General features: G+C 39.6%; 1 protein-coding gene and 1 pseudogene across 5 annotated transcripts in view; one reads left to right on the top strand and one right to left on the bottom strand.

The window, feature by feature from the left end:
• SLC71A2 (solute carrier family 71 member 2) overlaps positions 1–25,269 on the bottom strand; it is an 86,626-nt gene that overhangs the window by 11,415 nt on the left and 49,942 nt on the right. For 3 of the 5 annotated variants that reach the window (XM_017015218.2, NM_032558.3, XM_047423972.1), the window contains exons 3-7: positions 20,377–20,439; positions 11,100–11,227; positions 8,529–8,643; positions 4,446–4,664; positions 2,692–2,805 (exon numbers count right to left, since the gene is read on the bottom strand). In XM_017015218.2, coding sequence (XP_016870707.1) covers positions 2,692–2,805; positions 4,446–4,664; positions 8,529–8,643; positions 11,100–11,227; positions 20,377–20,439 — 639 coding nt within the window. Of the gene's footprint in view, positions 1–2,691; positions 2,806–4,445; positions 4,665–8,528; positions 8,644–11,099; positions 11,228–20,376; positions 20,440–25,269 lie in introns of those variants that run through there. The other 2 variants (XM_017015219.3, XM_047423973.1) reach the window with 2 other exon arrangements.
• YRDCP1 (yrdC N(6)-threonylcarbamoyltransferase domain containing pseudogene 1) lies at positions 16,335–17,114 on the top strand (annotated as a pseudogene).

The raw sequence follows: 25,269 nt of genomic DNA, 5'->3' as shown, positions 1-25,269 counted from the left end.
ATTCTCACCAGCAAGTATGAGGGCTCCGATTTCTCCACATCCTTGTCTGTCTTTTTGATAGCCATCCTAGAACATGTGAAATGGTTATCTCATTGTTGGTGTGACTTGCATGTCCTTGACGGCTAGTAATGTTATTCTTCTTTTCCTGTGCTTATTGGCCTTTTGTAGATCTTCTCTGCAAAATCCTTTGCCTATCTTTTCAACTGAGTTGTCTCTTTATTGTTGAGTTATTGTAAGATGCTATTAAGTCTTTTATTATAAGAGTTCTACATGTATTCTGGATACAAGTTATTTATCAAATATATGATCTTCAAATATCACATGCAAATTTAACTAAAATGTTAGTGTGTTAATTGTTCTTAGCAGCCAGCAATAATATAAAATAATATGGAATGATTCCGATTTGTCATAATTGGTGGTGGTGGTGACATGAGCATATGTGTAGGAGAAAAGCTAGAAGAATAAAATAGTCATAGTTGTTTATTACCTACATAAAGAGATGTAACTTTTTTTTTAGCTTTCTTCCTTGGACTGTCTCATCTTCCTACATTATTTTCTGTGTTAAATGCATATGTAATGTAATGCACAAATTAATTTAGACACAAGTATAATTTTCTACACTATCTCACCATTCTTCCCTCTAAATCTCTAGCATACAACCACCAAAAATGAACAAAAGAGAAATGCCTGGGAAAGATCGGGTGTAGTGGCTCATGCCTATAATCCCAGCATTTTGGGAGGCTGAAACAGGCAGATCACTTGAGACCAGGAGTTCAAGACCAGCCTGACCAACATGGTAAAACCCTGTCTCTACTAAAAATACAAAACTTAGCTGGGTGTGGTGGTGCATACCGATAATCCCAGCTGCTTGGCAGGCTGAGGCACAAGGATTTCTTGAACCCAGGAGACAGAGGCTGCAGCGAGCCAAGATCACGCCATTGCACTCCAGCCTGGGCAACAGAGCAAGACTCTTGTCTCCAATAAAAAAGTAAAAAGGTTTTATTTATATGCCACCACGTAAAATATTAGTCCCATACCCTCAGGAAAACTATCAGAATGAAGAATTTAATACACTTCATTTTTAAATACAACCAGAAAAAGAGGAATTTATCTTAGGAGGAAGCTTGCTGTGTCAAAGTAAACCATTAGGAAAAGGCCTGCCTTCCAATGAAATCAGTAAAAGACCACAGGATGCAATGGAAAGGCAGCTTAGGTCTGAGCAATCCCAGAGAGCTGAAGAACAGTTGAAAGGGGAAGTTTTTGGTTTTCTTTTTTTTAATTGCTTTAAGTCAATTATCTGTTTTGGGGGACAAAATAGGGTATAAATTTTTTTAAAGTGTAAAATACTCTAGAGAGGGAAGATTTTGATTAATGCTTTTGAGTCCCCCTGAAGTCCACAGCAGCAGTTGAGCTATGACCTACTGAAGGTGCCTCAGCAAGCTGGCTTCAATCAGACCTGGAACAAGGGCAGGTCTGAAATAAGTTTTATCTGTTAAATTTAATTAATATTATTAAAGATTAAAACATTACAGTACATGAATGTTACAGCAGCTTTATGCACAACTGTCAAAACTTTAAAGCAAGTAAGGTGTCGTTCAGTGGGTGAATGGATAAACTGGCAAATCCAAACAAATGCCAAAAACAAAATGAGCTATCAAGCCATGAAAGAACCTTAAATGCATATTATTAATTGAAAGAAACCAATCTGAAAAGGCTACATACTGTATGAAAAAAGGTAAAACTATGGAGACAATAAAGAGATCAGTGGTTGCCAGGGGTTGGTGGTGGAGGGAGAGATAAACAGGCATAGCATAAGGGATTTTTGCAGTGAAAATTCACTGTGTGATACTGTAAGGGTTGATACATGTTATCATGTCATCATACGTTTGTCCAAACCCATAGAATGTACAACACTAAGCATGAACCCTAATGTAAACTGTGGACTTTATGTTAAGATAATTTGTCAATGTAGGTTCATCAGTTGTAAAAATTTCCCACCCTCGTGGGAGATGTTGATAGTGGAGGAGGCTATGCATGTATGGGGATAGGGGATATATGGGAAATCTCTATATCTTACTCTCAATTTTGCTGTGAACCTAAAACTGTTCTAGAAAAATAGTCTATTTAAAAAAAAAAAAAAAAAAAACAGGCTGGGCACAGTGGCTCACGCCTGTAATCCCAGCATTTTGGGAGACCGAGGCGGGTGGATCACTTGAGGTCAGGAGTTCGAGACCAACCTGGCCAACACGGTGAAACCCTGTCTCTACTAAAAATACAAAAATTGGCTGGGCATGGTAGTGCACGCCTGTAATCCCAGCTACTCGGGAGGCTGAGACAGGAGAATCGCTTGAACTCAGAAGGTAGAGGTTGCAGTGAGCCAAGATCGTGCCATTGCACTCCAGCCTGGTGGACAAGAGCAAAACTCCGTCTCAAAAAAAAAAAAAGATAAATTATGTTTCTGCTAATTCTGGTTAATTCTCAAGAAAAAAAAATTTCCACAGTAATTATCTTACTATAAATCATTGCATTAAAGGTGCCCTGTTTACTAATTATATGCCAGCACCTACATTTGTAACTAGAAGCAAGTTCACATGTTTTTTCCTCTGCAGTGGTTTCCTCAAAATATCTTTAGACAAATCTCCATCTTTGATTTTCCTGGTATTGAAAGGCTACTAGCCACTCACTACTCACCTGCCTGAGATAGAGAAAAAAACTTGAATACTGTCCAGCTTCAGGAAGGTATGAAAGAAACACGGTGATGCAGATTAGTAAGACAGTAGAATCTTTTCCAACTTTCTTCAACGACTGAGAATAAGCAGAAAGAACACACTTAAAATGCCAATACACATTAATGTTGCCAATGTTCTGGGACATCAGCTTCATTATTTTGATCTATTAAGATGAATAACAAAAGTCAAATGGTTAATAAAAGGAAGTTCTATCACCATCTTTCTGAGGAAGTTACAAGTCTTAATTTCAGAGGTATATATTTCAAATCATATAGCTAAAAAAAAAAGCAAAAAAATAAACCCACAAAACACACTTACTCATCTTTGTTAACACACTGATTAAAATCCCTGAACAGATCCCGAACTTCCTATAAACAGAACCTGGAAATATATTCCTACAGAACCTTTTAAGAAAATCACTTCTCTCAATTCATAATGTAACTTCTTTAAAGCCATATTCAGTACAGAGCGTTTCCGTATAGGTAAATTCACTCTATTCTTCAAAGTGTTCATGTTCAACTTTTATATCTGGTAGACAAATAAGTACGCTCCAGCCATAAGGTCAAACTGGTAAGAACTTGTTGAATGTTACAACCTTGTTGAAAAATCCTTCTTACATACATTGGATTGTTGAATAGAACAAAATGGTAAGTTAATACCAAAGGAGTGGAAAGTGCTACAGAGCTTCTAGCTCATCAGACCATAGCTTTTATGTAATTAATAAGCAAAAGCAGCTAATGTTGTTGAGACTTTGCTGGGCAACAGACACTAGGCTAGTTAATTTACACACATTAACAGTAATCCCCACGATTGCCCGGAAAAGTAAGCCACAGTAGCTCTACTTCACAGAGGAGCTTTGATGCATAACTTGATCACTACAAAGGAAGGTGGGAAGCCTAACTGGCTGGCTCCCAACCCCACTACTGGCTTCCTTCTCTAAATATTTCTTTTGGTGTCTGACATTGTGACAATAATAGAACAGGCAGGATCCCTAGGTCATGCCCTCAGGGGGTATTTTAGAAAAAGTAATTTCTGATTGATTACATGAATTTTTCTGAAAGGTAAACTTGGGGGACGAAAAGCAGAAACCAAACTGCTGGTTCTTTTTTTGTCTACAAACTTTTTTTTTCCCCAAGAACAATTTCAAACCAGGTAGGGTAGAGAGAAGGTGAGAGATAAGATATGTTTTCCAGTGACACACCACCTTCCCATGCCAAAAAAGAAGGGGGTGGAAAAGGAGAGGAAAGGGAGGGAGGTAGAGAGGGAGAGAGAGACATATTATAGAAAACAATACTCAATCTGTAACAAACAAATTAAACGTCTCTGGTCAAAATTAAAATAACTCATTCAAACCAAAGGCATTTATCCTTTTTGAGTTAAAATGAGTGAAAATGACCACTTCAAATGACCACTTTCACTTATTTTGTTTAAAAAGGATGAAAACAACCATGCAAAAAGAAACTCTCTTCCCAAACTCTCACCAAGAATTAACTAGACATTTTCTCTCTCTTCGTTTATGACATGCTTAAGTACCAATTCTATATATTTCTTAATACAAAGACTAACTCAATCCCTTACTTGCAATTAATTTTTTCTATTTTTACTAAAGAAATAAGTCAACAACTGCTAGGATCCTTGAGGCTGCACATACATACTTTCATTTGCTTGGCTTAGAAAGACATTTAGGAAAGTAAATATTTCCATATTTTTATTTACCGCAAAAGGGTCTGCTTGTTTCCAAGAAATCTGAGCTCCCCAGGAAACCGGTCTCATTTTCTCAGGCAGAGATTCTGGAACAGCCACTAAGATGAAGCAGATGTCCAGAAGAGCCACCACTGTGGCCACCAGCACAACGAGGCTGTCTCCGTAACTGGCAGAAAGATATGCTCCAATGGCCGGGCTGCTGACAAGACTAGCCGCAAAGGTGGCTGAGACCTGTGGGAAAGCACACTCTCACCCAGGGTCCCATAGGTGAACACCTCTGGGGAAAGCATATCCTTACCCAGGTCTGCCTGCTGCAGGTGCACACCTTCAGGAAAGCACACTCAACCAGGGTCCCACAGGTGCATACCTGCAGCCATGCTTCCCTGGCTTTAAGTAAGACAAAAGAAATGTGTTGCATATAAATTTTAAGAATGAAAGAGAATTAAAGTGATTTAAGAATGTGTTCATAAACTATTAACTGGAGATACCCTGCAGAGCTACAAGAGTAAAAAAGGATTATCTTATTACAAACAAAAATTGTAAAAACCTTCCCCACAAATAAAACATTAGCTCTTTGGTCTTCTTTAACTGGGGACCGGGGATGTGAGATGGTATGAAAAGAATTCCTGCAGGGCTGATGATAAAACTTACAAACTACTCAAGTACTGTGCTTGATTTAATCTTCTAAAAACACTGCACTGTTTGAACATTTTATCATTTGGTGGTCATTTCATTAGCACTGCCTGGGGTCAGGGGGAACCCTCTGCTATTCTTAGAAAAAAACTATTAACAACAACAAAGAATTTGTTGAGGTGGAAGTTGAAGCTTTTTGACTAGACAGCTGTAGATTTCTGTCTCTCTGTCACCACCTGACCCTATCCAGTATAGAGACCACAGAGCCAGCTAAGCACACCCACAACCTGAAGCCACCTTGAGCCCCTTCACAGTGCACTCCTATAAGCATGTGGAATGTCCACTTTATTTTAGAACACAATCTGGATGGTCAGATGCTTATCGGGCAAACTCCAAATTATAACCACACTAAATGTCAAATGCATATCTATAAGTTAGCTTTTTAAACTTCTAATGGATTTTATTAAAAATCCCAAAATTTCTGGCAATAAAAAATTCTTTTTCATCCATCATCTCCCAACTGAATTAAAAAACACAGTATATCTGAAATTAGTATTATACTAAAAGTACTATAAAAGCTAAAACTCAAGTATTTTTGGAGGGGAAAAAAGAATGTGGAAAATTCCAATGTGGGGAATAGGAATCCTTTGTTCAATATTTACTGAGAATCTACTATGTACCAGATGAAGAAGACAAAGCTCTTGCCCTCAGGTTTTCCCACTTTATTCAAGAATATCAGGGCAACCAAATAACTGCATTATAAACTGCAACGACAAGCAAACAGTTATGGGAACATTCCTACACTCTTCTCAGGTGTTAAGGGGGCACTGCTGCAGCATCTTCAGGTGTTAAAGGGTCTATGGCCTCATGAAACTCTATGCAAAATGTGTCTATCTTAAAGCCTAAAGTAGCCTACTTGCTTAGTCTGTGTTTTTATCTAAACTCCTCTTTCACTTAACATTCAATACAACTCTGATGAATAAATCTAAAGAATGACTTCCCCACAACAAACTCTTAGTAAGTGTTAACTCACTTATTAACATGACTAATCATTGCCGTAGCCCTGAAAGAATTACCACTTTCTTGGTTTACTGAAGAAGTCTGAGTAAGGAAGGTGTACACATTTTTATACTGTTCTTTAATGGGTCTCAAAATGCTCCTTAGAACTTGACTGACACGTTCTGTAATTAATTGGCAATAAATTCTCCTATATCTAGAAGATAGGTAGACTGCAATCCAGGCAGCCTTGCATGCTGAGTTGCTTCTGCTGGCTGGGAGCACACTTCAGCTAAGTGCCGTCTCAGTCTGGATGTGTGCGCTCACTGATTGCTCTCAATGCCCCTGTGAGTAGATATTAACCCTAACTGCCATTATACAATGAGGAGCTGAGCTGGAGAGGGTAATTAAGTCACAGGCGCTTCTGGTTAGAACTCTCTTAAATCTTTCCTGAAAGCACTACTGCTCAGCACAACAGCTGTGTGAAGGGTTTCCCAGCTGAAAGCGAGAAACAAAAATCAAATATTGCAGAAAAATGAGTATCTCAACAGGTATTTCCCATGCTGTAGAAGAAAGCTGTCCCTCACTACTCTGTTGGCCAAGCCTTATGGGCACAACTTGAACAACCTACCTTCTTGTTTTTGTTTTTTCTTTTCTTTTTTTTGGCAGGGCGGGGGGAGGTTGTTAATTTTTGGAGTTTTGGGGGACATTTTTTTTTTTGAGGCGGGTCTGACCGTCGCCAGCCTGGAGTGTAGTGGCGCGATCTTGGCTCACTGCAACCTCTGCCTCCTGGGTTCAAGCAATTCTCCTGCCTCAGCCTCCCAGGTAGCTGAGATTACAAGCGCACACCACCACGCTCGGCTAATTTTTGTATTTTAGTAGAGACGGGGTTTCACCATGTTGGCCAGGATGGTCTCGATTTCTTGACCTCATGATCCGCCCCCACCTCAGCCTCTCAAAGTGCTGAGATTACAGGCGTGAGCCACCGCACCCGGCCTATTTTTGTTTTTGGTGTTCCTGAGTGAGCTCCAAATCTTGTCTTCTTCGAAGCTTTCCTATCAGCTTCTATCTTTGTCCTCCTCCATCACGACTCTGAAGATGCCCCTTTTTAGGGCATGACATGAGAGGGACATTCAGGAGTGGAGGGAAGAAGCAAGGAGAGAGAGAGAGGGAAGGTAGAAGAGTCAGAGGGAAGTGGGGTTGAAAGAGTAGTTTTCAAACTACTGATGTCTAAAGTCAACAAGTTAAAAATTGTTGTGTTTTGTGGAATAGTAGTAACCCATTTATATGCCCATCATTGATTCAGGAAGTTATTCATTCAGTCAGCAATGAATGAGAACTTACTCTACTCCAGGAAGTAGATTTAAAAGACCCAGGAAAAGGAGATAAATAACCTAAGTTTCTGGCATTCAATCTCCCTCCAACCTATTCCCCACAACCTAGCCAGATCATCTTTCTTCTTCCACTTTCTTATTCTGAATATTTTCAAATACAGAGGAAGACGGGAGAAGGGTACCAAGCATACTTCCATGTCTCACAGGTTCAGGCATGGAACACACATGCCCACACATGCACATCCACATGCTATGCTATCTTTTCCCCTGAAACATCTGAAAGTAACTGGCAGAGTCCTGACACTGATGTAAAACGCTTCAGCTATCTTCTAACAAGTCTTTCTTCTACATAATCATAATGCCATTATCATGCCTGAGAAAATCAGAAACACTGTCAGGTTTTAATTATCAGAAAAAAAGGTCTCCTATAACTTTTGTTATTCAGCAACTATGGATTTGATGAATGAGTGAATGTAGTCCTTTTCTACATACCATGTTCCAAATGTATGTCCAAAACACACAACCACTAATAGAGTTAACAATGGATTAACATTGCTGAGGTTCAGCACCTCTCCAAATTAGGTGCACAAAGAGCTTGTGCAACTTGACTGCTTAACGCTCCTCCGGGGATCAGATAACAAGAAACAAATCAAACTAATTTTTTAAAAAATTCAAATGTTCAATTGTAATCCCCAATGTTGAAGGTGGGGCCTGGTGGGAGGTGATTGGATCATGGGGGTAGTTTCTCATGAATGGCTTAGCACCACCTTCCTTGGTTGTTAATAGTAAGTGAGTTCTTGTGAGATCTGGCCGTTTAAAAGTGTGTAGCACCTCCCCCTTCACTCTCTCTTCCTCCTGCTCCAGTCATGTGAAGATGCCTGCTCTGGCTCTGCCTTCCATCATCATGAGTAAAAGCTCCCTGAGGCCTCCCCAGAAGCAGAAGCCTCTATGCCTCCTTTATAGCCTGCAGAACTGTGAGACAATTAAACCTCTTTTCTTTATAAATTACCCAGTCTCAGATATTTCTTTACAGCAGTGCAAGAAAGGACTAATAAACTCACTTTCCAGTAAATTTCTAATACAATGTTAATTACTATTCTGGTTAAAAAATATATATAGTCTATTATCTTACCCATCCATAAGCTGTACTTCGCTCGTGCTCCTGAGTGACATCAGCTACATAGGCAAATATAACAGAAAACGTGACCGAGAAGACTCCAGACACAGAAATCATCGCAAAATACCACCTATAAAAAGATTATTTTAATGACCCAAGGGAAAGGGAGTGTATGTTCACTTTCATTACCTGAGCCAAAGACATCATGTAAAGATTACGCACCAAGAAATAAGTATACTTGTATATGTATGTATACTTAAATATATCAAAAAAAATTTAAGTTAAGACAGGAAGAAGTAGAAACATTCTAATTTCATCATTGTTCAAAGGGGGTCAGTACATGCCCCCTAAAAAAACAAAAGAAGAGGAAAAACAAAGAATAAGGGGATTAGGTAAAAGTTATATTTTTAAAGGTAGCCAACAGACAGAAAAAAAACTTCTCAAATATCCTAGCTGTAAGTAAGGAAAAGACATACAACAAATGATTTGAAAAGATCTACATAAAAGCAGAAGTCATAATGAAAAATATTAGTGTACTTAAGACTAAAAATTTATATCATGTGATAGATGCTTTTTTTAAAAACCCAGTTTAAAATTAACAAAGAAAAACCTTATAGAACAAAAAGTGGGGTTTACTCCAGGATAGAAAAATATTTTAATATTTAAAAATCTATTAATATAATTATTCATTTTAGTAGCTCTAAAGAGAAAAGGTGGGCGGATCACGAGGTCAGGAGATTGAGACCATCCTGGCTAACATGGTGAAACCCTGTCTCTACTAAAAATGCAAAAACTTAGCCGGGCGTGGTGGTGGGCGCCTGTAGTCCCAGCTACTCAGGAGGCTGAGGCAGGAGAATGGTGTGAACCCGGGAGGCGGAGCTTGCAGTGAGCCAAGATCGCGCCACTGCACTCCAGCCTGGGCGACAGAGAGAGACTCCGTCTCAAAAAAAAAAATAAGAGAAAAGGCAAATAATATCCATTAATGCTATAAAGTCATCAAATAAAATCTGACATGTACTCTTAATGTTTTTTAAAAATCTGTGGATACAATAGGAATATTTTTCAGTCTAAAAACCAGCTTAACACCTAATGATGAAACATTACAATACTCCCTTTATATATATGAAGAAAATAAGCCCAAAATCTTCACTTTGATTTACTAATATTCATTAGTCAAAGCAATTAGCAAAAGCAGTGAGCAGTATGAAAACTGGAAGGAAAAAGAAAAAATTATTTACAGATGACATTAATATACCTAGAAAACCAAGCAATTAGAAGAGCTCATGTTGTAGCAGAACAAAAAGGATAAAATTTATAGGAACAAAACTTAAGAAATGTATAAGATCTAAAGAAAAAATATTAAGCCAAAAAAAGGACATTAAAAAGTCCCAACTCATTGGAAAAGCATGACATCTTGGACATAAAGACTCAATACCAAAAAATTCTTCAACTCGTAGAAAATAAAATGATTATAAGTACCCAATAAATTTAGAATGTGATAGGTGTTAGCATAAAATTCCTACCAAATAATCAAATGAAAATATTTTCACACGAGCTAAAAAAAAAAAAAAATCTATTAATAGGATTAAAAACCAAAACAAAACTTCCATATGTAAGTGTGTTCTTCACATAAGAAAGAGCATCTCTGCAATAGGAATACATACCAAAATACCATCTTCTGTTATCCAAAAAAAACAACTAAGTTACGGCTCACATGCAAATTCCAACCCACCTTTGGTAACTAAATGGGCTTTGGTCACATGCTAAATACTCTCCCGATTTATACAAAGAAAAAAAAAAAAAAATTGGGCTGCGCACTGTGGCTCACGCCTGTAATCCCAGCACTTTGGGAGGCCGAGGCAGGTGGATAACCAGGAGTCAGTTCAAGGGAAGCCTCACCAATATGGTGAGACCCCATCCCTACTAAAAATACAAAAATTAGCCGGGCGTCTGTAGTCCCAGCTACTCAGGAGGCTGAGGCAGGAGAATTGCTTGAACCTGGGAGGCGGAGGTTGCAGTAAGCCAAGATCGTGCCACTGCACTCCAGCCTAGTCAACAGGGCAAGACTCCGTCTCCAAAAAAAAAAAAAAAACGAACTCAAATTCACATTATTATTTAAAATAGGCTATCAGCCTTATTATGGTATATTTTAAAGTGACTCCCGCCTATTATGATATAAACTATGTTTGTGTCAGTGCCCCACAGCGATGAGCTGACAAAAATAATATATTTACAAAGTCAACTAAAAGTCACAGTAATGAAGACAGGATTGTTAGCCCATTCTCAGGGTTAAACTCCCATACCTGACATCATGGCAACATCAGCTGCCTGAAGAGGCATCTTTTATTTCTACTTCTTCACCTAAGTAACTTATCTCAGACTTAATTCTAGAATGTCTTCACTACCCCATTTATAAAATGGATATAATGACAACTGTCCAAACTGGTTTTCAGTATTACCAGAGAGATCAAATGAAAACACAAGCACAACTGCTTTGTAATAGTTAAGAAGTGCTCTGCAAATATAAGTATAATTTACATGTGACTCAAAACAAGCAGTCAGGAGGTGAAGGGCCAAGTCACTCACCATGGGCTGATCCTCATCAGTGGGATTGGGAAGCAGGTAAAGAATACAGTGCCGAGGAGAAAGGGCTTCCTCCCCCACACATCAGACAGGGCACCAATGAGTGGGGCACTCAAAAAAGAGAGCAGGCCCTGGAGAGGAAACCAAAGCAAAGGTTAGTTTTATAATCTGATCCCTCAATTACCTGTAATTCATATTTTCTAAATGCATTAGCTCTAATTCATTGTACTGCCCCCAAAACAGAATAATACTTTGAAACATTAAATACAAACTACAACTAAAAAAATAAAATTAGGCCTGGCGTGGTGGCTCATGCCTGTAATCCCAGCACTTTGGAAGGCCGAGGCGGGTGGATCACTTGAGGTCAGGAGTTCAAGACCAGTCTGGCCAACATGGTGAAACCTCGTCTCTACTAAAAATACAAAATTACAAAAAACTAGCCGGGCGTGGTGGCAGACGCCTGTAATCCCAGCTACTCAGGAGGCTGAGGCAGGAGAATCACTTGAACCCGAGAGGCAGAGGCTGCAGTGAACCAAGATCACGCCTTTGTACTCTAGGCTGGGCAACAAGAGCAAAACTGTTGTCTAATTAAAATAAAATCTAAAATAAAATTATAACCAAAAATGTAAATGTTCTATCAGAAAGGGAAGGAAGAAGTAAAAAAGCTTGTTTTCCAGAAGAAATTAGAAAAGAGCGATGACATGATATATATATACCCACATTTGACCCTTAAGACGAACACACACCAAGCATACGGGAAGAAGCTAGAAATTTGAATCACTTTAATAAATATATATGGCATATCAATTCTGCACAAAACTGCATTAACTGGTACAATGACACCCAAATGAATGTACACCATATACTATCCCCAGGGCCTCACAGGGATAAAGAAGAGGAGTGTACATATGCTTAATGATCAAAAGAAAACTAGATTCTTTGTCAACTTTGTCGATCAAAGTAAAGTTCTCTCTGCCTGATGAGTTTAGGAAGAAGGAGATAATCCAACCTGAACAACAACTACAGTTGAAACTAAGGGGAAGAGAGTCTGACATAGATAACACCACACAGAAGCAAAGGAAGTCAAGGAACTCACATTCACTGCTTGCCCACTATTTGCCAGTCACTCTGTTGGCTGGCCACCTTCATTTCAATGCTACAGATAAGCAGCAGGGTGGGGAGAGCAGGGATGGACAAGAGTAGAAAAATGCTGATGAATAATGAAATAGGTGATGAGTACACAGGTATTCATCACACTATTCTTTTGTGTATCTGAATTTTCATGATACATCTTAAAAATTCCTCAGCACATCACATAAATAGGACACTCCAAAACCCGGCTCCTGACACACATCCTCTGCTGTGGCTGCATGCGATACTTCCAGTTTTCTGGACATACAATGTTCCTGCGTGCCAACAGGCCTTTGCACGCACATCCATCCCACACTTGGAGCCTGGAAACTGCTAGTGATTCTTCCCAACCCTGGGAGAGAAGCACCTCCTCCTCTATCTAGTCTCTTAGCTCTTCTATTATAATTTCAGCACTCCATTAAATCACTTGTTATTTGTCTATCTTCTCTACTGGATTCAAAATTGAGATTAAGGTCAGAAGGATGACATTTCTTCTTATCTCTGTACCCGTGGTGCCTATCACAGGGCCTGGTAAACACTGGTTTTCAAATACGTTTGGTGAATTGAATAGAACTTTTCAGAGAAAATCAACTTACAGAAGTCTCCACGTTCACATAATTGGAAAGAAAAAGGAACAGATTCCAATCCCCTATCAGCCACCAACTGATTAACCCAGGACAGCAGACATAGGTAAACTGATAAGAGGAGGGACTCAAAGTGAAGCAGCTTCATTGTCTGGGGAAATACCTGCAGTTCATCATCTTGCACCAAGAAGATTAAGGACATGGGCACACATGGGTGGGTGAAGGAGGGGAAAGTTTAATAGGCAAATGAAAGAAGAGAGCTTCCTCGTACAAAAGAAGGATTATTATTAATACTTTATATAAAAGAAGCTGTGGGTAAGTTTAGCTTCAGGCATAGCTAGATGGACACAGGGAAGGAGTTGTTCATACAGTGTCATCTGGGTTCTCTCACCAATTCTTAGTAAGGTGTCTCAATGTAGTAAGCAGGACAGTTTTTGCAATCGTAGGCTTACTACAAGTTAAGTAACCCCAGTAGACTGAGAAAATCTCAATACCTCTAGCAGAAAATTCCTCTGGAGAAATATCACTGATCTAGTTTGGATCATTTGCCCATTGTCCATGCAACTAGTTTAAATCTCTACACAGCCAACCCTCTGTATATGGAGGCTCCGTATCTGTAGATTCATCCAATCATGGATGAAAAATATTTGGAAGAAAACAATTAAAAATAAGAACACAACAATAAAAAATACAAATTAAAAAATACAGTGTAACAACTATTTACACAGTATTAGGTATTATAAGTCATCTAGAGATGAATTAGAGTATAAGAAGACTGAGAATGAGTGGCCTAACAGGTAGAAAGAAAACTATGCTAGGTCAAGTGAAGAAAGCAAGTAAAGAAAGCCTTTTAAGAATGAAAAAGGGGCCAGGTATGGTGGCTCACGCCTGTAATCCCAGCACTCTGGGAGGTTGAGGCGGGCGGATCACCTGAGGTCAGGAGTTCAAGACCAGCCTGGCCATGGTGAAACCCCGTCTCTACTAAAAATACAAAATTAGCCAGGCATGGTGGTGCGCACCTCTAATCCCAGCTACTCGGGAGGCTAAGGCAGGAGAATCGCTTGAACCCAGGAGGCGGAGGTTGCAGTGAGCCGAGATCGTGCCATTGCACTCCAGCCTGGGCAACAAGAGCAAAACTCCATCTCAAAAAAAAAAAAAAAAAAAAAGAAGAAGGAAAAAGGTTCGGAATAATTCTGGTGGAAAAGTGAGTGTGGAAGTCTACTTGTAATGAATGTAAGATAGCATGGCAAAGAAAGAAATGGGGTAGTAGCCTGAGGAGAAAAGGAAAAGAGGTTTTGTTTTTAGATTGGAGAACTAGAATGCTTGTATGCTGGTAGGAATAATTTAGAGGGAAAATTTAAAACACTGGGGAAAAAAGGCATAACTGCTGAATTCTTGAGAATGGATGAGATATGTGAAGAAGCTGGCTTTAGCAAGGAACAAGGACAGTTCATCCTTAGAAACAGGAGAGGAGGTAGAGTATACGAGAACAGATGCATGTAGGTGGATAGTAGATGTGGTGATGGGAGACTGAAATTTCTCTTTGCATTGCTTCTATTTATTTAGTGACACAGTTAAGGTCATTAGATGGTGGAAAAGGTATTGCCTACAGAGTAGCTGGAGAATTAAATTTTCAAGCGTTGGGGTTTAGCCAACCAAGTGTGACAGAGTAAAAAGAGGGCACGCTTTATATGCAAAGCAGTAATTATAATGATTGACCACAGAATTTAAGCCAAGAAAGATGAAAGTGAGGATACAGGGGCAGGGGTGACAGTGAAAGGCAGGTAGGATGGGTTTTCAGTGCTGATATACTGAGCTGTAGTAAAAAATAGAGTAAGCTAGAATGGTAAGGAGGTAGTGGTTGAATACTAGGATATACAGAGAAACAGTATGTATAATAGTTAGAGTTTGGATGCTGGAAGCAATACTTTTTGGGATAAAATTCTGGTTTGAGCAATTGCAGCTGTGAAACAATGGGCAAATTATTTATCTTTCTCTCTCAATTTACTTACCTATGAAAGGGAATAATGAGTACCTATCTCTTAGAAAGTTTGCCATTATTAATACTGTGTAATGGTTAGAGTTATTATAAGTGAATGGCTAACAGGGTGGAGTGAAATAGATCAAGGAAATGAAAGACCACTATTATTGGAAGGATAATCTGTGTGGATATTGAAACCACCAAGAAATAAGACAGGTCTTTGCTGGACACAGTGGCTCACGCCTGTAATCCCAGCACTTTGGGAGGCTGAGGCGGGAGGATCACGAGGTCAAGAGTTTGAGACCAGCCTGGCGAACATGGTGAAACCCCGTCTCTACTAAAAATACAAAAATTAGCCAGGTGTGGTGGTGTGTGCCTGTAATCTCAGCTACTTGGGAGTCTGAGGCAGGAGAATCACTTGAACCCGGACAGCGGGGAGTTGCAGCAAGCTGAGATCGCACCACTGCACCCCAGCCTAGGTGACAGGGTGGGACTCCGTCTCAAAAAATAAAAAAGACAAGTCTTGAATATTGCTAAAATTTCCTATTCAGCCACTGGTAGGATTATATTGTTGCACATTAGTGGTAAACACAAATTACCTAAATTTGGTCATAATAGTTGTTAAAAACAAAATTTTTAAAGTATTGATTTTAAAACTATTTAAGTTTAATGTAGAATATTTTTTGCTAAATTTAAAATTTTACCCTAATTGTTATTTCACAATTTTTTCTTTTATATTTGTAGAATATACTTCAACAACAGCAACAAAAGGTTTCTCAACAATCTAGAATTGTTCAGAGTGAGACTGAAAAGTTGTATTAGCAGTTCATAAAGGTCTGTTGTATGTGGCAACACAATACATTGTTATAAAGCATAATGTATTTATGGAAGTAGAAGGTAGTTCTTTCCAAGTTTATGAGAAAAATCATTTCAGATTTTTAACTACTTTCCATTTTGAATTCATTGTTTCTTTCCAAGTTTATGAGAAAAAACATTTCAGATTTTTAACTACTTTCCATTCTGAATTCGTTGTTTCTGATGTAAGTAATAAATGTATTTTTACTTTAGGATTCTAATGGTTTTGTGAGGATTATTCCAAACAAAAGAGTGGCAAATTGGGAATTTTATTTAGAAATGTACTTATGCATAAACTCTGTATGCTACTAATACTTTAGTCATAGTTCTCTGTTTTAACTGGAAACAGAAAGTCTGTAAATCGTGTCTAGGTTGTGTTTCACTTGTTTATGTATCCAGTGTTTGTTAAATAATAAAAAGTACCCAAATGGGAGGATGTCTCTGGCACACCCAGCTAATTTTGCATTTTTAGTAAAGACAGGGTTTCTCGATGTTGGTCAGGCTGGTCTCAAACTCCCAACCTCAGGTGATCCGCCCACCTCGGCCTCCCAAAGTGCTGGGATTACAGGCATGAGCCACCGTGCCCGACCTACCCTGACCTTTTTTTTACGCAATGTGTCCTTCTGAACACTGTAGACCAAGCCCCAGAAGCTGCACCTGTGGGAAAGGCTGTATTTGTTATTTGTAGTCAGTCCAGGGGGATCCGAGGGCCACAGTGGCTGCCAGTGTGGGACAGAGCGAGGGGGCAAGCCCAGAGTGTTCAGCCATGGCTGAGCTGTACACCAGCACCATGGTAGCCATCCCACCAATATGCCACATGGCCTGGCCTGCACGGCAAGCTGCTCAGTGGCCCTGCGCATTGTGTACCGTCTCAAGGGCTGCAGGAAGGCCAAGTTACTGGCTGTATGAGAGTAGCACCCCAGGAGCTCCTGAAAGACCTAGTGCCAGGACCAGTGTCCCTGGTGATGGAACGTTCAGAGGAGCTCAACAACGACCTAAACCCCTTTACTCCTCTTACAAGGTATCCGGATTCCTGATTATGCCTTTATGCAAGACTTGGCCAAGATGTATGAGCATCCTCTTGCTCTCACTAGTGCCAACCTCAGCTCCCAGGACAGTTCTCTGAATGCCATGGAGTTATAAGACCTCTGGCCTCAGTTGTCCTTGGTCATTGATGGGGGACAAACTAGGGATAGCCAGATCCCTGAGTGTTACCTTGGCTCAACTGTGGTTGACTTATCTGTGCATAGAAAGTTTGGCATCATTCGTCCAGGCTGTGTCCTGGAAAGTACTACAGCCTTCCTTCAACAGAGGTATGGGTTGCACCCCTCATGTGCATCCTACTTGTGAAACTCAGGAAGCAGGAAGGCCCATGGCCTGGTGCTGGACACTCTGTGTCCGTCCACTGATAATTGCCAAGCCCTCATTTGCAGAAGCCACTGGAGCTCCTGCAGTAGTCTGACTTTTTTTTCTTTTTTCTGAGACGGAGTTTCGTTCTTGTTGCCCAGGCTGGAGTGCAATGGCACGATCTCGGCTCACTGCAACCTCCGTCTCCCAGGTTCAAGCAATTCTCCTGCCTCAGCCTCCCAAGTAGCTGGGGTTACAGGCATGCACCACCACAACCGGCTAATTTTGCATTTTTAGTAGAGACAGGGTTTCTCCATGTTGGTCAGGCTGGTCTCAAACTCCCAACCTCAGGTGATCAGCCCACCTCGGCCTCCCAAAGTGCTGGGATTACAGGCGTGAGCCACTGCGTCTGACCTAGCCTGACTTTTTTTTAATGCAATGTGTCTTTCTGAACACTGTAGACCAATCCCCAGAAGCTGCACCTGTGGGAAAGGCTATATTTAATATTTGTAGTCTCATATATCAGCCAAAAGCTGAACGGAGAGATTAACAACATTCCTAGGTGGCATTATTCTAATAAGTTTATTTTTTTAATTGAAAAGTAATTTAAATAGCAGATGTAGAATCTAATGAGAGCCTCCTCTCTGCTGGGTGGTAGCATTCAAAATGGTTCAGACCAGCTACAAGTGCCAATGCTGTTTAAAAAGTCTCAGGTGACCAAAGGCATGGGTTGGCCTCCTGAAGCTGGAACCAGGTAGAGCCACGGGCCAAACACTCTCTCCTCTGAACCAGTGGAGCTAGTGGTGTCAAATACTGTAATTGCTGGTGGGGAGAGCAGTCATTTTGATCTAACGCTGGGACGTCGGCTCAGTTGGTGGGGGTGGTCCAAATTAAAGAATATTGAGAAATAAATCTCCACTATCCTTTTCAGCCAGGGACTTTTTTCTTATTTATTCATAAATTAAGTTGTAGTTATACCTATAACACTTTTATCTAAGTCCAGTGTTCTCAGTAGCCTTTGGTCTATTTATGTGTACTAAGTGTTCAACATAATTACTGTTGGGCATTTTAACTTGGCTTTTCTTTAGTAAAAAGACATACAGCTATAAAAAAAAAAGTACCCAAATGATAAAAAATAAATAAAATGCCGTTTTACATATAAATATCCTCAAATTATTTTTGAAAACAGGCAAATAATAAATATGATTTATTAATATTTAACATTATTTATTATATGAATGTTTTTTAAGAGCTATGAAAATAACGAACTACAATGGCTAAATTCAGCACATTACTAGGGCATAATTTTTTTTTTTTTTTTGAGACGGAGTCTCGCTCCGTCGCCCAGGCTGGAGTGCAGTGGCACAATCTCAGCTCACTGCAACCTCCATCTCCCAGGTTCAAGTGATTCTCTTTCCTCAGCCTCCCCAGTAGCTGGGACTACAGGGGCCCGCCACCACGACCAGCTAATTTTTTGTATTTTTGGTAGAGATGGAGTTTCACCATGTTAAGCCAGGATGGTCTCGATCTCCTGATCTCGTGATCCGCCTGCCTTGGCCTCCCAAAGTGCTGGGATTACAGGCGTGAGCCACCGCGTGCAGCCTTGGGAATAATTTTAAGTATGTTGTTCAGTACAACGTATAATTATGCATAGATTGACATTATCTAAACTGGAAAGCACAAATTAGACCCTATACTCATATGCTTTACTATAAGAGACTAAAAAATACTATTATACTTTAAACTCCTATTTAACTCTTTTCCTATTTAGAAAAAACAAGTGCAGCTCACTGCCAGCATTCATATGATTTTACATACACATACTCTTTGAGGCTGAAGCAAATATGATTGATTTTTCAATGTGAAAATAAAATATAAAAAGTGTTCTTGGAGTTATTTCTAAACAGAACTAACATCAGAATCACCTGAATCATCAGAATTGTCTATTTCAAAAAACTGGATTCATCAAATGAATCTTCAGCCGGTAACTGTTCGAGAACAATGTTAACATCACAGGTAGAAGTGCTGCGTTTTCTAGGACTTGACATTTTCAGTGATAGAGTGTTACTGTAGTTTGTAACTGGAAACACCACTACTAAAAACAGAATACAGGCCAGGCGCAGTGGCTCATGCCTGTGATTGCAAGACTGTGGGAGGCCAAGGCGGGCAGATCACTTGAGGTCAGCAGTTCGAGACCAGCCTGGCCAACATGGTGAAACCCCATCTCTACTAAAATTACAAAAATTAGCTGAGCGTAGTGGTGGGCACCTGAAATCCCAGCTACTCAGAAGACTAAGGCAGGAGAATCACTCGAACCCGGGAGGTGGAGGTTGCAGTAGGCTGAGATCACACCACTGCACTCCAGCCTGGGCAACAGAGCGAGACTCCATCTCAAAAAAAAAAAAAAAAATTATTTAAAAGAATGAGGAACAGTCAGGCGCGGTGGTTCACGCCTGTAATCCCAGCACTTTGGGAGGCCAAGGCAGGCAGATCACGAGGTCAAGAGATCGAGACCATCCTGACCAACATGGTGAAATCCTGTCTCTACTAAAAATACAAAAATCAGCTGGGCGTGGTGGTGCATGCCTAGTCCCAGCTACTCGGGAGGCTGAGGCAGGAGAATTGCTTGAACCCGGGAGGCGGATGCTGCAGTGAGCCGAGATCTCACCACACTGCACTCCAGCCTGGTGACAGAGCGAGACTCCATCTCAAAAAAAAAAAAAATAAAATAAAGAATGAGGAAAAAGAATGCTATCAATAGAATGATGTCTTTTGTTTCCAAAGTCTATATACTAAAGCAATGCAAAAATAATAATAAAAGCAACATGTTTTGTGGCAAAGTTATCTTGGAGTAAATGCAGCACCGCTGGCGAGTATTCTCGGTGCAAACAGGAAAACGGTTTAAAGCCGTTTTTATATATATCATATTAAAATCGACATAATGAATTAAGACTAATTAAATCAAGTGGCTGAGTTATTACAAAGCCATGGCCAGTGTTACCAGCTCGGCTTCCTTCTTCCTCAGATATACTTCTTTTTAGTATACCTAAAAAGATGATGGTAGCAATTGCCCACTTTATTCTGTTGATAGGCAGAGAAGTTAAAAGTTACATAATAATTAAGCCCTTTTGTGTACACAATAATAAAAATGAAGTTAGGCCTATAGAGTATTCACACTGCTATTTGCCAGTAAACCATTCTATGCCTTATGTATTTGTGTTGTATTTTAAAGTGACTTTTAATAACCCAGCTAAAAATTTAGATTTCAGCCTCCAGAACAAATAGTATTTGTTTCCCAAAGTCCCACTAAAACTTCCAGAGTTAAACTACCAAGGATTCCTGACTTTGGTTCATTACAAACCACATAAAAATTTTTTCTTACCTTTACACCTTGAATGAGACCATTCATGAGGAATGTGTGTTGAGAAAATGTTTCATGTAGAACCTACAAAAAGCAAACAAACATCAAGACAAATTCAAATTTAAGTTAAAGGAAAAATTTTCTGCCTCTTTTAATGGCATGCTACATAAATGAGCCCTGCAATGAAAAATTATAAAATATCAACAAAATTCAAAAAAATAAACAAACAAACTGTGGTACATCCAGACTATCACTAAAAAGAAATGAGCTACCAAGCCACTAAAAAACATGGAGGAACCTCAAATGCACATAGTTAAGTGAAACAAACCAATCTGAAAAGGCTACATATTGTATTGTATAATTCCAAGTATATGACATTCTGGAAAAGGTAAAACTATGGAAACGATAAAAAGATCAGTGGTGGCCAGGGACTGTGAAGGAGGGAGGGATGAATAGGCAGAGCACAGGGGATTTTTAGGGCAATGAAAATGCTTTGTATGATACTATGATGGTGGATACATGCATTATGTATTTATCAAAACTCAGCATATAGAATACCAAGAGTGAAACCTAAACTACAGAATTTGGGTGATAACAGTATGTCAATGTAAGTTCATCAAATAAAACAAATGTACCCCTTTAGAAAGGAATGTCCATAGTAAAAAAAAAAAAGGGGGGGGGGTATGCATATGTAGGGAAGGGATACAGGGGAAATCTCTGTACCTTCCTCTCAATTTTGCTGTGAACCTTAAATGACTCTTTAAAAAATTAAGTCTTTAAAAAACGGAAATTAAAATCTACTCACAAATTATTTCCAACCTTTCCTCTAACAACATTATTTTTAAGGTTTAGAAAAAGTTTGTCATCTCAGCTACTGACATTTGAACTCTACCTGCCTGTACTGAAGAAAAAGAAAAGCAAATGAAGGACACCAAATATTTCAAGTGAAATACCAAAGTTATAAGAAAAAATCTTCCAAAAATAATAAATGTAAGTCACAGAGATACAGACATTTTCTTTAAAGAATATAAAGACTAGAACTGTTGAATAACTTGATTTGTCACATGCATCACAAAAACATGGTAAAATGCAAAACAAAAACGTATTTTTAAAAAATGCTTATCGGATCATGTCAACTTTTTTTTTTTTTTGGAGATGGAGTCTCACTCTTCGCCAGGCTGGAGTGCAGTGGTACAATCTCAGCTCACTGCAACCCCCGCCTCTCAGGTTCAAGCGATTCTCCTTGCCTCATCCTCCCGAGTAGCTGGGACTACAGGAACCTGCCACCATGCCCAGCTAATTTTTGTATTTTTGGTAGAGGTGGAGTTTCACCATATTGGCCAGGCTGGTCTTGAACTCCTGACCTTGTGATCCATCCACCTTGGCCTCCCAAAGTGTTGGGATTACAGGCGTGAGCCACTGCTCCCGGCCTGATCATGTCCATTATTAACCCATTGTCTCTCAGTCCCACATTCTCCCTTCTATACTCTATCAGATCAGAGATAAGAGACTATGGACATTCCTCTGACTCCCTTTCCCCACAGGCTTCCTCTTAGTTTCTTTCAGTGGGAAATACAGGGTGGAGTGAGTGCTGGTCAACACTGCACCAACACCTCCAGGGTTCTCTCATGCTGTCAAAGGAGCAGCAGTGCTGATCCTTCCCTGCCCCCACCTCAAACCTCACCCTCTCAACCTCAGACCACTGCTAGAATTCTACATGGAAAATGATGCAAACCTGCATTCCCTTTGTACAGGTGATGCAGTTTAGGAATAAGAGATCATCATTTTAATTTGGCAAAACCGTATCTATGGATGAATGACAAAATACATACTTAATGAGTTGCACACTAAATAGATCTCATGTAATTTCTGACCATATGGGCCCATTTCTGAGCAATCAAGCTACCATGCAGGCAATTCCTCTAAAAATGTTCAATCCATGCTTTTAAAAACTTTTCTACTGTTTTCTACCTACCCTCCCCCAAAAAAGGAAACAGTGAAATCTTACTAAAGAAAAAAGTAAAACAAGTCAATAATAATTTTAAAAGGCTAACCTTCATAAAATAAAGCAGTTGTAAATAAAACATATATTCTACTCAGGCTTATGATAAAGTTTAAAAACCAAAATAAAGTATGTAAATAATTTAGCTACAAAAGGCAACAAATGTTATCAGAATAAAGTAAACCTAATAATAAAAGGTGTATTAAATATCTCAGAGAAGATCAAAGCTTTCATTTTTAACATCTCTGTATGAAAAAAAATCTCAAGCTTAGCCAGGCACAGTGGCATACACCTGTAATCCTAGCTACTGAGGAAGCTGAAGTGGGAAGATTGCCTTGAGCCCGGAAGATCAAGTCTGCAGTGAGCTATGATTGCACCACTGCACTCTAGCCTGGGCAACAGAGCAAGACCTTGTATCTATCTATCTATCTAAATAAATAAATAAAAATAACTCAAGGAAAATATCCCCTTTAAGTATTCTTGAGAAGGACTACAGTAAACATAAAATAAAATGGCATTTGCCTGAAAAAAATAGGAAACATTTTAAAAGAAAAAAATGACACTTGCTTATCACTTTTAAAACAATAACTATAAAGTTTTAAGAAATGAACTGTCTTCCAGTACAACAAAGCTTAGAAATATCTACATGTAATAAACATACACAGAGCTGTGTTTCTCCACTTCCACAGATATAACAGAAAAAACATGAAATTAAATTTACAGCATTCCTAGAAAGCCAAGAATCATAAGGCGCTTCTGGATGATACAGAACAGATGAGAAAAGACTGACAACAAAAAAAGAGCTGAAGAAAAGTAGCACTTGAAGATGAAAGAGAAGACCTTGAAGAAGTTCATTTTCCAGAACCCAGAAAGAAACCTCCCAAATCAGAGGAGTAGGAAAAAATAGCCATAAATGAAAGGGTACTAAAAGGTCACAAAGTAAGCTCCCTGGTGTCTTCCTCTCAAAGCTGCTGACCTACAGATATGGCACCAGGATAACAATCACAAGCACAGTTCTCTGAAAACTGTGGGACTTCTAAGTGGGATACTTGCAGGATTGAACGGAATGAGATTCAAAAAGGACGGTGCCCCAGATCTCTTATGGCTGCCAAAAGTGCACAAAGTCCTATGACCACATAATCCTATAGAGTACTTCAGTACTCTAGAATATCCACACTTTCACAGAGCAAGAGGGCCTATAACCAGTCCCTGCATTAAATTTTAGGGAATAAGGCTTTCCACCTGGGCTGAAGAACTACACTCTTAGTAACCACAGGTATCTAGACTACAGGTGGAAAACTGGCTACAGCCTGACTGTAAACTTGAAACAGCCTTTGCAAAATTATGACTGAGACAGTGAAAGATCTAACTTAACCGACTCCATCTTACTTCTAACCTCCAAGCTGTCCTTGTTCATTCCTGGGCATAGCATGAACTTTGGGAGAAACTTAGTTTATAGTTTTTTAAAACAAAGACAGTAATAGCCCTTTCCCAAAGCAGACCTCCTTCTTGCCTGGAGACTAGACTGCCTTTGTAGGACCAACATTAGCCACAAGATTAGAAATTATGGTTTACGAATCAGGTAGCTAGAGGCTACAGGATTCTGACCCTCCCCAAACTGCTCCTAATATCACTGCTTGAGATATTTTGCAGACCCTGCACTTAATGGATCAGCTGGCACCACCCAGATCGATAAACTGGCTCATCTGATCTTGTGGCCCCAACTCAGGAACTGACTCAACTCAAGAAGACAGCTTCAACGCCCCATGATTTCATCCATGACCAATTCTGTAGTGTGGCTCATTTTCCTCAAGACTGCCTTAGTCTAAGCCTTTTTTATGTCTCCATATATTTTATAATCAGCTCTTCAATAGCCACAAAATAACTTGCGAAGAATTTTGATTATGATTGCATTGACCACAGAATAATTGGGAAAGAACAGACATACTGTCTTTTTGTTGTTGTTTGATTCAAAGTCTCACTCTGTCACCCAGGCTCAGGTGCAGTGGCACGATCTCGGCTCACCACAACCTCCACCTCCCGGGTTCAAGCGATTCTCCTGCCTCAACCTCCCGAGTAGCTGGGATTACAGGAGTGCGTCACCATGCCTGGTTAATTTAGTAGATATGGGGTTTCGCCGAGGTTGATCTTGAACAAGATAGGGAAACAGATGTCATTACACAAATACCACAGTAAAAACTGTTGCAGACAAGCATTTATGGATGCTAAAATTAGTAGGACAACAGAAAAGGAACAAGATATCTGGACAGTCTCAAAGTATTTCTCCACAACATACTCACTTGAGACCAGGAGTTCAAGACCAGCCTCGCTGAAACCCGATATTTATTATTTAAAAAAAAAAAAAAAGCCAGTTGTGGTGGCACACGCCTGTAGTCCCAGCTACTCAGGAGGTCGGGGCAGGAGAATCACTTGAACCCAGGAGGCAGAGGTTGCAGTGAGCTGAGATCTAGCCACTGCACCCCAGCCTGGGCAACAGAGTGAGACTCTCAATCAAAGAATAAAAAAAAAAAAAAAAAAAAAAAGCAGAAAACAATATGTCCATTCTTCCACAATCAATCTATAGTCAATGCAATCATAATAAAAATTCTTAGCAGATTATTTTGTGGGTATTGAAGAGCTGATTATAAAATATATATATACAGACATAAAAAAGGCTTAGACCAAGGCAATCTTGAGGAAAATGAACCACACTAAGGAATTTATACAAGATATTATGGCTGGGCGCAGTGGCTCACACCTGCAATCCCAGCACTTTGGGAAACTGAGGCAGGCAGATAACCTGAGGTCAGGAGTTCGAGACCAGCCTGGCCAACATGGTGAAACCCAGTATCTACTAAAAATACAAAAATTAGCCAGGCATGGTGGTGCATGCCTGTTATTCCAGCTACTCA

The sequence above is a fragment of the Homo sapiens genome, chromosome 9 (assembly GCF_000001405.40).
Source record: "Homo sapiens chromosome 9, GRCh38.p14 Primary Assembly".
Classification (NCBI taxonomy): Eukaryota; Metazoa; Chordata; class Mammalia; order Primates; family Hominidae; genus Homo; species Homo sapiens.
This window is presented reverse-complemented; position numbering and strand designations above follow the sequence as displayed.